Below are 16155 nucleotides of genomic sequence, written 5' to 3'. Positions count from 1 at the left end.
TTAAAGTTATTGGCATAAATATACCCTTTATTATCCTTTTAATGTCTATAAAATATACAGTGATGTCCCTCTTTTTTTCTCTATAGGTTTAATTACTAAGGGTTGTTAATATTATTAATGTTTACCAAAAATTTATCTTCTAGCTTTGGGCGCTCCATTGTTTCTTTTCCACTTCACTGAGTTCTGCTTTTATTTATTTCCTTTCTTGTACTTACTTTAGGTTTAATAACTTGCCTTTTTCTAGCATCTGAATGTAAAAGCAGAGATCACTGATTTTATCTTTCCTATATTCTCATCTACTTCTTTAAAACAAAAGTTTCCCGCTGAAGACTACTTTAGTTAAATCCCACAAATTGTGATATGTGGTGTTTTAATTATTATTCAAAATAAAATATTTCCTGATTTTTCTTGTAACTTCTTTTTTGAGCAATGGTAATGATGTGGTGTAAGTCCTGCTGGACTATTTTTAAATAATGGGGACAAATACACTTCTATCTTACATAAACCACTATTATTTTAGTGTTTTCTATTATATGCACCCAAACTTATTGTAACTAAAATGAATGATAGAATAATATTATCGGTAATTTATTCCCATATCTAAATTACCTCTGTAATTTCATTAATACCAAATTGGCCTGATTTTCCAGTTTCTGCTTTAAATATAAAAGTTGTTAATGTGTAGAAGTATAAAATTAGAAAGTAATAGGGAACCATCTTTGCTCTAAGAAAGCCACACTATAAGAAAACTACAGAGCAACATTCCTTATGAACACTGATGGAAAAATACTAAAAAAAAATCAGCAAAAAAATCTCAGCAGCATATTAAAAGCACACTTTAATCCTTTTGACTAAGTAGGATTTATTCCTGGAATGCAAAAAAGGTTCAACCTATGAAAAATCAACATAATATACCACATTAACAGAATGAGGGGGGGAAAAAATCACATGATCATCTCAATTGATACCAAAAAAGGATTTTACAAAATTTAATACACTTTCATGATAAAACACTCCACAACAGGGATAGGAAACACTAGGAATAGAGGGAAACTACCTCAATATAATAAAAGGCACATATAAAAATCTAACAGCAAACATCACATTCAATGGTTAGAAGTTTTTTCTTTAAGATGAGGAACAATATAAGAATGCCTATTTTCACCACTTGTAGTCAACATAGTATCCAGAAGCTCTAGCCAGAGGAATTAAGCAAGAAAAATAAATAAATAAATAAAAGATACCCAAATTGGGAAGAAGAAAACTTATCTGTTTTCAGAAGCTAAGATCTTTTACGAAGAAAACACTAAATATTCCACAACGAAAAACCCTGCCAGAGTAAGTGAATTCAGGAAAGTAGCAGCATACAAAGTCAACACAAAATAGTTCCATTTCTATATACTAAGAATAAACAATATAAAAAGAAAATTAAGATAACAATTCCATTTACAATAGCATCACAAAGAATAAAAAATACTTAGGAATTAATCAAGAAGGCAAAAGACTCGTACACTGAAAACCACAAAACACTGCTGAAAGAAATCAAAGAAAACACAAAGATATCCACATTCATGGATTGGAAGACTTAATATTGTTAAGATGACCACACTACCCCAGATTGATACAGATATTGAATCTGTATTGATCAATATGGATTTTATTGATTCTGTACATTCAATAAAATCCCCTATCAAAATCCAAATGACTTCTTTTTTTCAGAAATAAAAAAATCCATCCTAAAATTCATATGGAATCTCAAAGGACCCTGAATAGTCAAAAGCAGCTTGAAAAAAAGAACAAAGTTGGAGGACACATACCTTCCTGATTTGAAAACTTGCTACAAAGCTATAGCGTGGTATTGGCAAATCAGACATACAGACCAACAGAATAAACAGCCCAGAAATAATCCCTTGCATATATGGTAAAATGCTATTGACAATGGTGCCACAGTCATGCAATGGGGAAAGGACAGTCTTTTCAACAAATGGTGCTTGGGAAAATTGGACATTCACATTCAAAAAGATGAAGTTGGACCCTTACCCAACACCATATACAAAATTTAACTTAAAATGGATAAAAGATCTAAATGTAAGAGCTAAAATTAAAGAACTCTCAGGCCAGGCGCGGTGGCTCATGCCTGTAATCCCTACTCTTTGGGAGGCTGAGGGGGTGTGGATCACGAGGTCAGGAGTTTGAGACCAGCCTGACCAACATGGTGAAACCCCGTCTCTACTAAAAATACGAAAATTAGCCAGGCGTGTTGGTGCGTAGCTAAAACCCCAGCTACTCAGGAGGCTGAGGCAAAAGAATCGCTTCAACCCAGGCGGTAGAGGTTGCAGTGAGCTGAGATCTTGCCACTGCACTCCAGCCTGGGCGACAGAGTGAGACTCTATCTACAAAAAAAAAAAGAACTTAGGGCAAAGCTTTATGACACTGGATTTGGAAATGATTTCTTGGATATGACACCAAAGGTACAGGTGACAAAGAAAAAACTGACAGGCTGGGCGCGGAGCTTCACATCTGTAATCCCAACACTTCAGGAGGCTGAGGCGGGCGGATCACCTGAGGTCGGGAGTTCGAGATCAGCCTGACCAACAAGGAGAAACCCTGTCTTCTACTAAAAATACAAAATTAGCTCAGCGTGGTGGTGCATGCCTATAATCCCAGCGACTCGGGAGGCTGAAGCAGGAGAATAGCTTGAACCCAGGAGGCAGAAGTTGTGGTGAGCCGAGATCGCACCATTGCACTCCTGGGCAAAAAGAGTGGGCAAAAAGAGTGAAGCTCCGTCTCAAAAAAAAAAAAGAAAGAAAGAAAGAAAAAAAAAAAAAGAAAAAACAGGCCGGGCACGGTGGCTCACGCCTGTAATCCCAGCACTTTGGGAGACTGAGGTGGGTGGATCACGAGGTCAGGAGATCAAGACCATCCTGGCTAATGTGGTGAAACCCCGTCTCTATTAAACAAAATACAAAAAAAAAAAAAAAAATTAGCTGGGCATGGTGGCGGGCGCCTGTAGGCCCAGCTACTTCGGAGGCTGAGGCAGGAGAATGGCGTGAACCCGGGAGGCATAGCTTGCAGTGAGCCGAGATTGTGCCACTGCACTCCAGCCTGGGTGACAGAGAGAGAGACTGTCTCAAAAAAGAAAAGAAAAGAAAAAATTGACAAATCAGACATCAAAATCTAAAATGTTTTATACATCAAAGGGCACTATCTACAGTAAAAAGGAAACCACAGAATGGGAGAAAATAATTGCAAATCATGTATTTGATAAGGGATTAACACCCAGAATATATAGAGAACACCTAAAACTCAATCGCAAAAGAAAAAAAAAACAACAACAAATGGGCAAAGGACTTGAAGAGACATTTTTCCAAAGAAGATACACAAATAGCCAAGAAGCATATGAAAAGATACTCAACATCACAAACCATTAGAAAAATACAAAGAAAAACCACAATGAAATACGACATTAAGGATGACTATTTAAAAAAAAATATGATGATGATGAAGAAAAAAAAAACAGAAGAGTTGATGAGAACGTACAGAAATTGGAATTCTTCTGCACTAGGGTGGAAATGTAAACTGGCACAGACACTGAAAAACAGTATGGTGGTTCTTCAAAAAATTAAATACAGAATTAATATTTAATCCAGCAATAGATACAAAAGTCATCCTAACCCTAACCCTAACCCTAACTTTTGGGTACAGATACAAAAGTCATCGAAGTAGGAACTCAAACAGATACTTGGTTTTTGGTGTTTTTTTGAGACGGAGTCTCACTCTGTCACCCAGGCTGGAGTGCTGTGGCATGATCTTGACTCACTGCAACCTCTGCCTCCTGGGTTCAAGCGATTCTCCTGCCTCACACTCCCGAGTAGCCGGGATTACAGGTGTGCGCCACCATGCCCAGCTAATTTTTGTATTTTTAGTAGAGATGGGGTTTTGCCATGTTGACCAGACTGGTCTCCAACTCCTGATATCAGGTGATCCGCCTGCCTTGGCCTCCCAAAGCGCTGGGATTACAGGCATGAGCCACTGCGCCCGGCCTCAAGCAGAAAATTATATACCAATGTTCAGAGCAGCATTATTTACAATACCCCCCAAAAAACAGAAACAATGCAAATATCTGTGAATAAACAAAATGTGATATATACATACACTGGAATATTATTCAGCTTCAATAAGGAATGAAAATGTTGATACATATTACAACACGGATAAATCTTGAAGATATGACCTTAGTGAAATAATCCAGAAACATAAGCATAAATATTGTATGACTCCAATAATATGAGGTACTTCGACTAGTCAAATTCATAGAGAAAGACAGTAGAAGGCTGGTTACCAGGTCTGCTAAAGTTATTGTTTAAAGGGTACAGTGTTTCAGTGTGGAATGATGAAAACATTCTGGAGATGGATGGTGGTAATGATTATGCCACAATATGAATGTGCTTAATGCCACTGAACTGTACACATAAAACAAGAAACTTTAGGTTATATATTTTCCCACAAAAGAAGTCATAAAGCACATAAGCAAATCAAAAGGTTACTTTCTCAGAAATGGGGTGGGGGATAAGTAATGAGAGCTTTTTTAACGTCAAAAAGTTAAGGGAATGAAAGAAGCTGAAAATCAGAAATCAGAGACTAATTGGTAAGCAGTACAATACCTATAAATTCTAAATAGTTTCATTTAGTGCTGTGTGAACAAATGGTAACAAATATGAAAATCTCTAGGATAAAATATCCAAGAGGGAGATGGAAATGCAAAATACTTAATGAACAGAAACCTATTGTCAAGCTAACTCAAGAAATACTAAGACTTCCACTCCTTGCTAATACAAATCTTTATATCAAAATCTGAAGGACTAGTATTTTACTCTTAATCTACAATGTTTAGAAAACTTACAGGGCAGATTTTCCTGTGCGGGGATCTATATAGGTGGTAGTTCTTCTATTGTGGTCCACAAAATATGGAATTCCATCCACTGTGAATCTCATTTCCCAACCTTCAGGTAAGGGCTTTTCATTTAATTGACTACGAAACACAGGAAAAAACATAAACAAAAATATTAAAGAGTTGCTTGTTTGCCAAGTACAGAAGCTACAAATGTCAATAAACATAGCAGAAATCTTTTAGAAAACCATTCAGTTCAGTAATTCAGTTGTATACTAGACATCTCTATGTGGACATCCTACAAACAGGTTAAACTCAAAGTCCATCAAACACAACTCAAGTCTTCTGCCGTCTACTTGGCTTATGTTCCCCATTAGCTAATGACTCATCCTAAACATTTTGTTAACCAAGTTCTAACCATTCTGCCTTAGAAATCTTCACGTTCATCTCTATTTCCAATCCCCAACACCATCCTTTCTCTGGCTTTGTTTCTCTCCTGCTTTTTTTTTTTTTTTTTTTTTTTTATAGATGGAGTCTCACTGTCGCCCAGGCTGGAGTGCAGGGGCACGATATCTTGGCTCACTGCAACCTCCACCTCCCAGGTTCAAGCGATTCTCCTGCCTCAGCCTCAGCTGGGACTACAGGCGCCTGCCACCACGCCCACGCCCAGCTAATTTTTGTATTTTTAGTAGAGACAGGGTTTCACCATGTTGGCCAGGCTGGGTTTGAACTCCTGACCTTGTGATCCTCCCACCTCAGCCTTCCAAGGTGCTGGAATTACAGGCGTGAGCCACTGCGCCCAGCCATCTTCTGCATTTTTTGAACAGCCACCTAACTCGTTTTCCTTATCTGATCTCACTCTAGGCCTGCTCTTATACTGATACTGCTAACAGAGTATCATCCTAAAACAGAGATCTTATTTAAATTAGTTATCTCTGTAAAGTACTATCACTGTTCCACCATTACCAATGATTAAGATCTAAAGTTCTTCATATGGCATTCACTCAGCCTCTATACGCTGGCCTCAATGTTCCCTTTGCACCCAAACCTCTAACTCCCTTTCATGAATCCCATGATTTCACAGTGTAGGCCACTCAGCACTTCCTTAAATAAGATATGATCTGCCACACCTCCAAATGAAGCCTTTCCTTTTGTCCCATATTATCTATCTACTGTTTTTCTACTAAGGCAACTCAAAAAAAGATTCTTTTAAGAGAAAGAATCTCACTCTGCTGCCCAGGGTGGAGTGCAGTGGCATGATCATAGTTCACTGCAGCCTCAAACTCCTGGGTTCAAGCAATCCTCCCACCTCAGCCTCCCTAGTAGCTAGGACTACAGTTGTATACCACCACACCCGGTTAAATTATAAAATTTTATGTAGAGACTGGTCTCACTATGTTCCCCAGGCTGGTCTTGAACTCCTGACCGGAAGTGATCCTCCTATTTTGGCCTCTCAAAGCACTGGGATTACAGATGTTGAGACACTACACAAGGCCTAATATGTTATTTATGAAGTATTCCATGCCACCTCCTTAATACCTATCTTTATACCTTGAAAACTCTTGTGACCCTAGACAAGCTGCTTAATCTCTCTAAACTTTAGGTTCTTTGTCCATAAAACAGAGACAACAATGTCTATGAGACTAGATGAGGAACAAATGAGACAGGTAAAAAGTGACAGTGAGCCCAAGTTGTAATTGTTATTACTCCTACTACAACTATAGATTGATCGTTCTCTTTAGGTCTTCCAAAAGTATTTCCTACATACTGCCAGGACATCTTTTAATCAAGTATTTCAGTTTGTGTGTTTGGCAACAACTTCCCACCAGCCTGGGCAACATAGAGACACCGTCTCTACCCAAAAAAAAAAAAAAAAAAAAAGCTGGGTGTGGTGGCCCATGCCTATAGTCCAAGCTACTTGGGAGGCTGAGGCAGGAGGATTGCTTGAGCCCAGGAGGTCAAGGCTGCAGCAAGCCATGATCATGTCACTTCACTCCAGCCTGGGTGACAGACTGAGACCTTGTCTCAAACAACAACAACAACAACAACAACAAACCTGTATTCACTTAACTGAATACAAATGTCAGATAAAACAGACTACCAAAAATGTAAAAAAGAGGATTCTCAATTGTTATACTTGCAAGATAGGCTCAGTAACAAGTTGTTGTCTTGAAAATAAATTAGATAGAACTAGGTCATCTGTGTTGTTAAAGCAGAATTCTAACTTTAGCTATAAAACTTTAAACATCTAAGAGGAAACAAAAAAATGGCAGCAAATTATAGAAAGGTGACTTCTTCAATTCTATTCTTAGAAAATTCTAAAGAGGAAGAAAATGTTATCTATGAAATTCTTCATTCTTCCTTTATGGAAACTGAATAAATTTAAGTAAATGCAGTAACTCCATTTAAAAAGAAAATGGTCATTTGTTGGTAGGCAGAAAAAACTATTTTAAGTTGAAAGCATATCTTTTTTTATTTATTTTTAGTTTTAGTTTTTTGAGGCAGAGTCACACTCTGTCGCCCAAGCTGGAATGCAGTGGTATGATCTCAGCTCAGTGCAACCTAAACCATACCTTCAGAACAAAAGTTTTTAAAACTTTTGAGCCATGGAATATCTGTTCTCAAATTATAATTATACCAAAAGAGAGGTCTGGCCTTTGCCCTCAGCAACTTGGTAGTGATGTTTAGGCCCTTGGAATGCACTGCGTATTGGGAATATCTTTGTTTGCCTGGAGGCTTTGATCACTGGACAGTCAAGGCTGTGGGACATGGAGCATCAGTTCCGACCTCTGGAGGAACTAGAGACTAAAGGGCATTAGCTCAAATCTCCAGTAAGGACTGGAGACAAAAGGTCAGCCAAGAGGGCAGTACGTGATCAAGCCCCAATAAAAACCCTAGATACCAGAGACTTCCCTGGTTGGTGATACTCGACCTCAATGTGTACTGTCCCACAATAATGCTGGATGTTCAGAGCCTCCCAGACTCTGCCCTGTGCACCTATTCCTTCTGCTGATTTTATTTTGCATTCTTTCTCTAGAATAAATGTGACTATAAGAGGTTTCAATGAGTTCTCAGTACTTCTAGTAACTTATCATACCTAAGAGTGGTGGTGGGGGCCCCCAAATTTGTAGACAGTTGGTCTGGAGTCATCCTGTGGACCCCCAATATTGTCGCTGATGTCTGAAGTGAGGGCAGCAGTTTTGTGGAGGACTGTGCCCTCCGACTGTACAGTCTGCCAAATTCCTTGCAGAATGGAACCCTCTGGCAGTCTGATAAATGCATAGTATTACAGACTGTTATGGGTTGAACTGTGTCCTCCCTCCAAATGCACGTTTATATCCTGGCCCTCAATAACTCAGAATGTGACCTTATTTGGAAACAGAGTTACTGCAGATGTATCAAGATGAGGTCATACTGAAGTACTGTGGGCCACTAATCCTATAGGACTGACGTCCTTATAAACAGGAAATTTGGGTACAGATAGACATACAGACAGGAAGAGTGCCATGTGAAGACTGGATTCATGCTGCCACAAGCCAAGGAGCTACAAGAAGCCAGGAGAAAGACCTGGAACAGATCTCTTCCTAGTATCTTCTGAGTGAGCATGGCCCTGCTGACATCGTGATCTCAAGCTTCTAGCCTCCAGAACCCTGAGACATACATTTCTATGGTTTAAGCAACCTCCTCTGTGGTACTTTGTTAAGGCGCCCTAGCAAACTAATATGCATACTATTATAACATGTTACAAAGATAAACCATTATATATACATAATTGTCAAAACATTATTTCTGTAATCCCAGCTACTCAGGAGGCTAAGGCAGGAGGATCGCTTAAAGACAGGAGTTTGAGAACAGCCTGGGCAACAAAGGGAGACCTTTGTGATAATGTACATATATCTCTTTATTAATAAATTAGCAAGTCCTTGTAATTATGTGTGTAAACAAGTATTTAGAGATATCTGCAACAACAACAGAATATTTTTTAACACCCTTTGACTTCTACTGATGGCAAACTCCTAGGCATTCTTAATCCTACATGGTAGTAGCCTACATTCATAATGGAAGAAGATACTAAATTTCCAGTAAAGAGTAATGAAACTGAGTATGTATTTTCTTCCTCCTTGAAACCACATACCCTAGATTCTTAACCAGTGATCTCAGGTTAAGAAACCCTGATTTAGAATCACTAATCTGTTCTTAGTAATTAAAAATAATATATATGTTAATAAGTATATTCTCATGTGCCAGATAATTTTTTTTGCTTTTCTATTGTTTTCTTTTTTTTTGAAACAGCCCTCAACCTGTCCTCCAGGTTGGAGTGTACTGGCACAATCATAGTTCACTGCAGTCTCGACTTCCTGGGCTCAGGTGATCCTCCCACCTCAGTCTCCCGAGTAGCTGGGACTACAGGTATACATGCCAACACACCCAATTTTGGGGATTTTTTTTGTAGAGACAGGGTCTCACTGCATTACGCAGGTCTTCCTGGCCTCAAACAATCCTCCCTCCTTGGCCTCCCAAAGTGCTGGGATAATGGGCATGAGCCACCATGCCCAGTTAAAGTTTTTTCCTGCACTTTGAAGAAATCTTCAAACTTTCCATTAGATGAAAATAATAGTATAATTTTCTCTTTCCAAAGTATGTAGGTGATTAACGTTTTAGGTCTTTGGCAAAAGAATATGAACTTTGATCTTCTTCAGTTGTTAGAAATAAGGTATAATCTTTAAGAGATTAAATATACACAAGTAACTATTCTTACCCTTGACTTCTGGGGTCTTCCCATTGTGTAATTCGTGTGTTGTGGTTGACGAAATATACTCTGCCATTGCTGTCTGTTCTCTTCTCTTTGGGAAGGGCAGGGGCAGGGGAAAGCAAAGCATTAGCATTGGCATAGTCTTCTTGCTCAAGGTAAAATAAAATTATTTGAATTTGCCCATTTCTCATTTCATTGTTTATTTTATAGTTTTTAAATCACAGCTTTAAAAGGTTTAATTTATTGACTATTAAATGCACATCCTTACTGAAGTTATAGAAATATTACATCTTAGAAGCTAAGTAGACGTACTTTATAATGTCCTAACCATAGGACCTTTCTACTCAATCCAACCAACAGCAGCAAGAATAATGAACAGTTATTTAGTTTTTTACACAGGACCTTCATTTTATTCTTAATAGTCCCATAGGGTAGGTGAATTCATCTTTATCCTTAAGATAAGAAAACTCAGATAGGTTAAATAATCTACCTGAAACCTCAGAATTAAGTAGCAGAGATGAGATGGAAACTCAGGTCTCCATTTAGGGATTTTTTTTTTTTCCATACTACATCATTTCATTCATTAAAATATAGTAAGGTGCCAGGCGGGGTGGCTCAGGCCTGTAATCCCAGCACTTTGGGAGGCCAAGGCAAGTAGATTGCTTGAGCTCAGGAGTTTGAGACCAGCCTGGGCCATATGGTGAACCCTCATCTCTACAAAAAATACAAAAAAATTAGTGGGCCGTGCTGGCAGCCCACTAATATATATATTTGATATATATTAAATATACATTTGTATATATAAATACACACACACACACATATATATATATATATTTTTTTTTTTGGAGACAAGGTCTCACTTTGTCACCCTGGCTGGAGTGCAGTGGCGTGATCTCAGCTCACTACAGCCTTGACCTCCCAGGTTCAGGTGATCCTCCTGCCTTAGCCCCACAACTTGTACAACTTGATTTTTAGAAACTAAGCTTTTTAAAAAGTTTGAATCCATTCTGTGATCTTTAATACATCAGTTATTCATTTTGAGACATGTTGAACAAATAAAAAAATTAGGATACCAGAAGAGTCCCATCTTTTGAAGAATTAATTGGTAATGGGACAGAGAAGCAACTTCCGGGGCTAAGGCAGGAGGGTCACCTGAACCTGGGAGGTCAAGACTGCAGTGAGCTGAGATCATGCCACTGCACTCTAGCCTGGGTGACAAAGTGAGGCCCTGTCTCAAAAAAAAAAAAAAAAAAAAAAAAAAAATATATATATATATATATATATATATATATACACACACACACACACACACACACACAATATATAAAAATATATATAAAATAAGGAATATAATGTAATTTGAGAGTGTGTATATATACATACATATATATACAAAATAAGGAATATAATATAAGGTATATGCTAGGCATTATTCAACTAAAAAATACTTCCTTTCTTAATACACTTAACATATCTCGTTCCTTAATATACCCAGTTCCAAAATCCTAAATATCTACAGTAACTTTCTATACAAGGGATAGGAAGCAGAACTCAGTTCTCTAATTACTGCATCTAAAGCTGCTGCTTGTTCCCCAACTGCCTCTTGCTTTAGGATTCTCCCTGTTTTCGTGTTCCCAGTCTACAAAATTTTACCTGCTTTCCTGAAATCTCCCCATTAAGGTTTAGAAGATGTGGATATTGGCCGGGCGCAGTAGCTCATGCCTGTAATTCTAGCACGTTGGGAGGCAGAGGCGGGCGGACTGCCTGAGCTCAGGAGTTCAAGACCAACCTGGGCAACATGGTGAAACCCCGTCTCTACTAAAATACAAAAAAGAAAAAAAAAAAAAATTAGCCAGGCATGGCGGTGTGCACCTGTAGTCCCAGCAACTCGAGAGGCTGAGGCAGGAGAACTGCTTGAACCCGGGACGCAGAGGTTACAGTGTGCCGAGATGGATTACAGCCTGGCGACAGAGCAAGACTCCGTCTCAAAAAAAAAAAAAAAATGTGGATATCATTTTCTCTTTTAGTAAACAAATTAAGTAGACTTGAAATTTTAACAGTTCTGCTGTTTTTGAATTACTGACTTCTCTGTCCCATTACCAATGAATTCTTCAAAAGATGGGATTCCTGCTGTATCCTAATTTATTTGTTCAACATGTCTCAAAATGAATAACTGATGTATTAAAGATCATAGAATGAACTGATGTATTAAAGATCATAGAATGAACTGAAACTTTTTAAAAAGCTTAGTTTCTAAAAATCAGCATTTTAAACAAAAATTTAAGTTTAATCCATGTTGACATGGCTAATTTTTATTTCCTGTGGTTTGAAAAATTGGTTAACTATTGGTCCTGCGCTGTGGCTCACGCCTGTAATCCCAGGACTCTGGGAGTTATAAGGCAGGCGGATGGCCTGAGGTCACGAGTTTGAGACCAGCGTGGCCAACAGGTCGAAACCCCGTCTCTACTAAAAATACAAAAATTAGCTGGGCATGGTGGTGGGCATCTGTAATCCCAGCTACTAGGGAGACTGAGGCAGGAGAATCGCTTGAACCCGGGAGGCAGAGGTTGCAGTGAGCCAAGATCATGCCATTGCACTCCAGCCTGGGCGACAAGAGCAAAACTCCATCTCAAAAAAAAAAAAAAAAAAAAAAAAAAAAACAGGAAAAGAAAAAAGAAAAATTGGTAACTATTTTTCAAATTAACACTTGAGATCATCTGGATCAGTTTTAGGCCAAATTATAGTCTTGTCAAGTTCGTATTTGGTAATATTTAATTTTATTTCCAATATAATTCCATGATTTCAAGTAGTAGTGATAACAGAGGTTAAAATGGATGTAACTAGTGAGTATCACAAACCTGCTTCTGACATTTAAAGCTACTTTCTATGTCAGCTTAGCTTAAAATGAAAATAGAATTCCAATGTGCATAATATACAGAAAAGTGGGACTCTGCCTCTCATGACACAGGTTTTGCTGGTCAAGGCATCTTCAGTGCATAAGCTTATCACCAACTCAAAGGCTGTCTCTAAAGAAAAACATAGGCCGGGCGCGGTGGCTCACACCTGTAATCCCAGCACTTTGGGAGGCCGAGGCGGGCGGATCACGAGGTCAGGAGATCGAGACCATCCTGGCTAACACAATGAAACCCCGTCTCTACTAAAAATACAAAAAATTAGCCGGGCGTGGTAGCGGGCGCCTGTAGTCCCAGCTACTCGGGAGGCTGAGGCAGGAGAATGGCGTGAACCCGGGAGGCGGAGGTTGCAGTGAGCCGAGATCGCGCCACTGCACTCCAGCCTGGGCGACAGAGCGAGACTCCGTCTCAAAAAAAAAAAAAAGAAAAACATAATCACCCACAGTGTTACAGCTTGCTCTTGTTAACATAACAGCAAGATAAGTTCATGTCTTGGCAGTCGCATTAAATTTTAAAAATTTATTTGCAGAATCCAGAATTCTCTCTTTGTTCTTCTTCTTCTTTTTTGAGACGGAGCCTTGCTCTGTCACCCAGGCTGGACTGGAGTGCAGTGGCGCGATCTCAGCTCACTGCAGCCTCGACCTCTCAGGTTTAAGCAATTCTCCTGCCTCAGCCTCCCAAATAGCTGGTACTACAGACGTCCACCACCACTCCCAGCTAATTTTTGTATTTTTTGTGGAGACAGCATTTCACCATGTTGGCCAGGCTGATCACGAACTCCTGACCTCAGGTGATTCACCCGCCTCGACCTCCCAAAGTGCTGGAATTACAGGCATGAGCCACCGTACCCAGCCAGAATTCTCTTTCTTGTTTAAAAATATATATCCAAATAATTTTTATAACCTAAAAATAATACCCTAAGTATATAGCTGAGCACATACTCAACTTTTTTCTCTCTCTTTTGGTTTTTTGAAAGAGTATCACTCTGTTGTCCAGGCTGGAGTGCAGTGATACAATCACAGCGCACTATAGCCTTGACCTCCGGGGCTCAAGCAACCCTCCCACTTCAGCCACCCAAGTAGCTGGAACTACAGGCATGCCACACCCAACTAATTTTTGTATTTTTTGTAAAGATGGGGTTTCACCATGTTGCCCCAGCCTGGTATCGAACTCCTGGACACAAGCCTTGGCCTCCCAAAGTACTGGGATTACAGGCGTGAGCCACTGTAATGGCCATTCATCTTTTATCTGTCAGCAAAGTTCAGATTTCAGGCCAAGATTTTCCTTTCAGAAGATAACATGAGGCAAGAGAAAATTAATAGCAAACATTTTTCTCATATATATTCTAAGTATATGCTGCTGAGATCAGCCTTGACACATTTGTGAACTGAAGGCTCATCTACTTAATGAGAGGAAGTGCTGTGGCTGTAGAACGGATTTCTGACTTTGTTGAAAAATCACATAATAAACAATACTGAAATTACTGAACATCAAATCCAAATGCAGATTAGAACACTTCCTGACTTGATGAATAAAACAGTAAAAAACAGACACTTCTTGTCATTCTATGTATTCTTTCACAGTAACTAGGAAAATGAGAGAATATCTTCATACTTGATTGGCGAAGCACCTATACAAAGCCCTATTAAATAATACTGGTGAACCAAAAGTATTCTTTGTTCTTTATCCTCTATAGTATGTTCATGTGTTAAAAATTCTTCACTGCCTAGCTAGGCATCGTGGCACAAAACTGTAATTCCAGCTACTCAGGAGGCTGAGGCATTGCTTGAGGCCAGGAGTTCAAAGCTGTAGTGTGCAATTACTATGCTGGAGAACAGCCACTGCACCCCAGCCTGGGCAACACAGGGAGACCCCCATCTCTAAAAAACCAATTATTCACTGAGCCTATGAGGTAGGAATGTCTAGTCCCAGCATATAAAAGTCTGAAAGGGTGCAAGCTGTAAGATGGGATTCTATCAACCTGGGTCAATCCTGAAGGTATGTTGGGTGGGTTGCTTCATCTGATATACTACCAGTGCTGTCACTGGTTCTACAAGTAAGGTATATGCCCCAAAGGCAGCAAGTCATAAAGCAGTGCTCAGTCTGAGTAGGATAATCATAAACATCTGTAGCACTACTTCAACATGAGGAATGTGAAACCTAAAAATAAGCAGACTGTAAAATAGCAGAACAAGACTCTAATAACCTGGCTAAGCTGGATCTTTAACACAGTATTTTAGCAAAGTGTTGTTGGCTAAAGTAAAAATGAGAAAGATCTGGATGATAAAGAAAATGATGAATACAGAAGGCAAGGACCAACTTGCAGGAAAGACTTTTCTGATAAAGGAAACGCAGCTCACAATTCAGCTTTCTATAAGCAAGAGGCATTTTTTTCTACACCTGCCCTAGAGAAGGAGTAAAACAGTTTTGTTTCTGACCATAACCATGAAGCAGGTCATAGTTTTTCTGCAACTTTTTTTTTTTTTTTTTTTTTTTGAGACAGGGTCTCACTCTGTTGCCCAGGCTGAAGCACAGTGGCAAAATCTTGGCCTACTTGCAGCCTTGACTTCCCAGGCTCAGGTGATCCTCCCACCTCAGCCTCCCAAGAAACTGGGATTAGGAGGTGTTCCACCACACCCAGATTATTTTTTGTATTTTTTTATAGAGACAGGTTTTCGCTATGTTGCCCAGGCTGATCTCCAACTCCCGGGCTCAAGCAATGTTCCCACTTCAGCCTCCCAAAGCGCTGAGATGACAGGTGTGAGCCACCATGCCTGGCCTGCAATAAAATTAAGAGGATAAATACATATCCTTTGGATATATCATTTTAGTGCATGAGTTTTTTTCTCCTTCTCTAACATAAGACATACAACTCTAGAAATAAAGCTGGGAAACTCTAGAAATAAAACCATCCATGTCTGGGAATGCAATCTGACAGGTTAAGTTTAATATGCCTTGTAAGGGCAACATCCCCTCTTCTAAAGTACTTCATACTAACCATTCACTGACCACTCTTAGGCTTCAGTAGAGACAGAGGACTCCTTAACTCCAGGCTGCCAAGCTTTGGTAAAGACAGAAATTCACAACTTGCTTTCTTCTTTTTTTTGAGACAGGGTCTTGCTCTCTCACCCGGGCTGGAGTGCAATAGTGTGATCTCGACTCTCTGAAGCCTCAAACTCCCAAGCTCAAGCGATCCTCCCACGTCAGCCTCAAGAGTAGCTGGGACTATAGGCAAGCACCACCATGCCTGGCTAATTTCTTTTTTTTTTTTTTTTTGAGACGGAGTCTCGCTCTGTCGCCTATGCTGGAGTGCAATGGCGCGATCTTGGCTCACTGCAACCTCCGCCTCCCGGGTTCAAGTGACTCTCCTGCCTCAGCCTCCTGAGCAGCTGGGATTACAGGCACGGGCCACCAAGCCCACCTAATTTTTTTGTATTTTTAGTAGAGACAGGGTTTCACCATGTTGGTCAGGCTGGTCTTGAACTCCTGAACTGAAGCGATTCACCTGCCTCAGCCTCCTAAAGTGTTAGGATTATAAGTGTAAGTCACTGCATCGGGCCCACAACTTTCATATGTCCTCCTGTTGTTATAAGCTA

At 39.6% G+C, this 16155-nt stretch overlaps 1 protein-coding gene and 1 non-coding gene across 15 annotated transcripts in view; both read right to left on the bottom strand.

Annotated features, from left to right (window-relative positions):
* The window catches only part of ITCH (itchy E3 ubiquitin protein ligase), a 148501-nt gene that overhangs the window by 44649 nt on the left and 87697 nt on the right, over positions 1-16155 (bottom strand). For all 14 annotated transcript variants that reach the window (NM_001324197.2, NM_001324198.2, NM_001257137.3 and 11 more), the window contains 2 exons: positions 9651-9735; positions 4904-5032 (listed from right to left, as the gene is read on the bottom strand). In NM_001324197.2, the coding sequence (NP_001311126.1) occupies positions 4904-5032; positions 9651-9735 (214 nt within the window). The remainder of the gene's footprint in view (positions 1-4903; positions 5033-9650; positions 9736-16155) is intronic.
* MIR644A (microRNA 644a) lies at positions 707-800 on the bottom strand. The gene has a single exon (NR_030374.1). It is a non-coding gene; the product is annotated as a microRNA 644a (primary transcript).

Source organism: Homo sapiens, chromosome 20, assembly GCF_000001405.40.
Source record: "Homo sapiens chromosome 20, GRCh38.p14 Primary Assembly".
Taxonomy (NCBI): domain Eukaryota; kingdom Metazoa; phylum Chordata; class Mammalia; order Primates; family Hominidae; genus Homo; species Homo sapiens.
The sequence above is the reverse complement of the archived record's forward strand: the minus strand, read 5'-3'. Positions and strand labels throughout refer to the sequence as shown.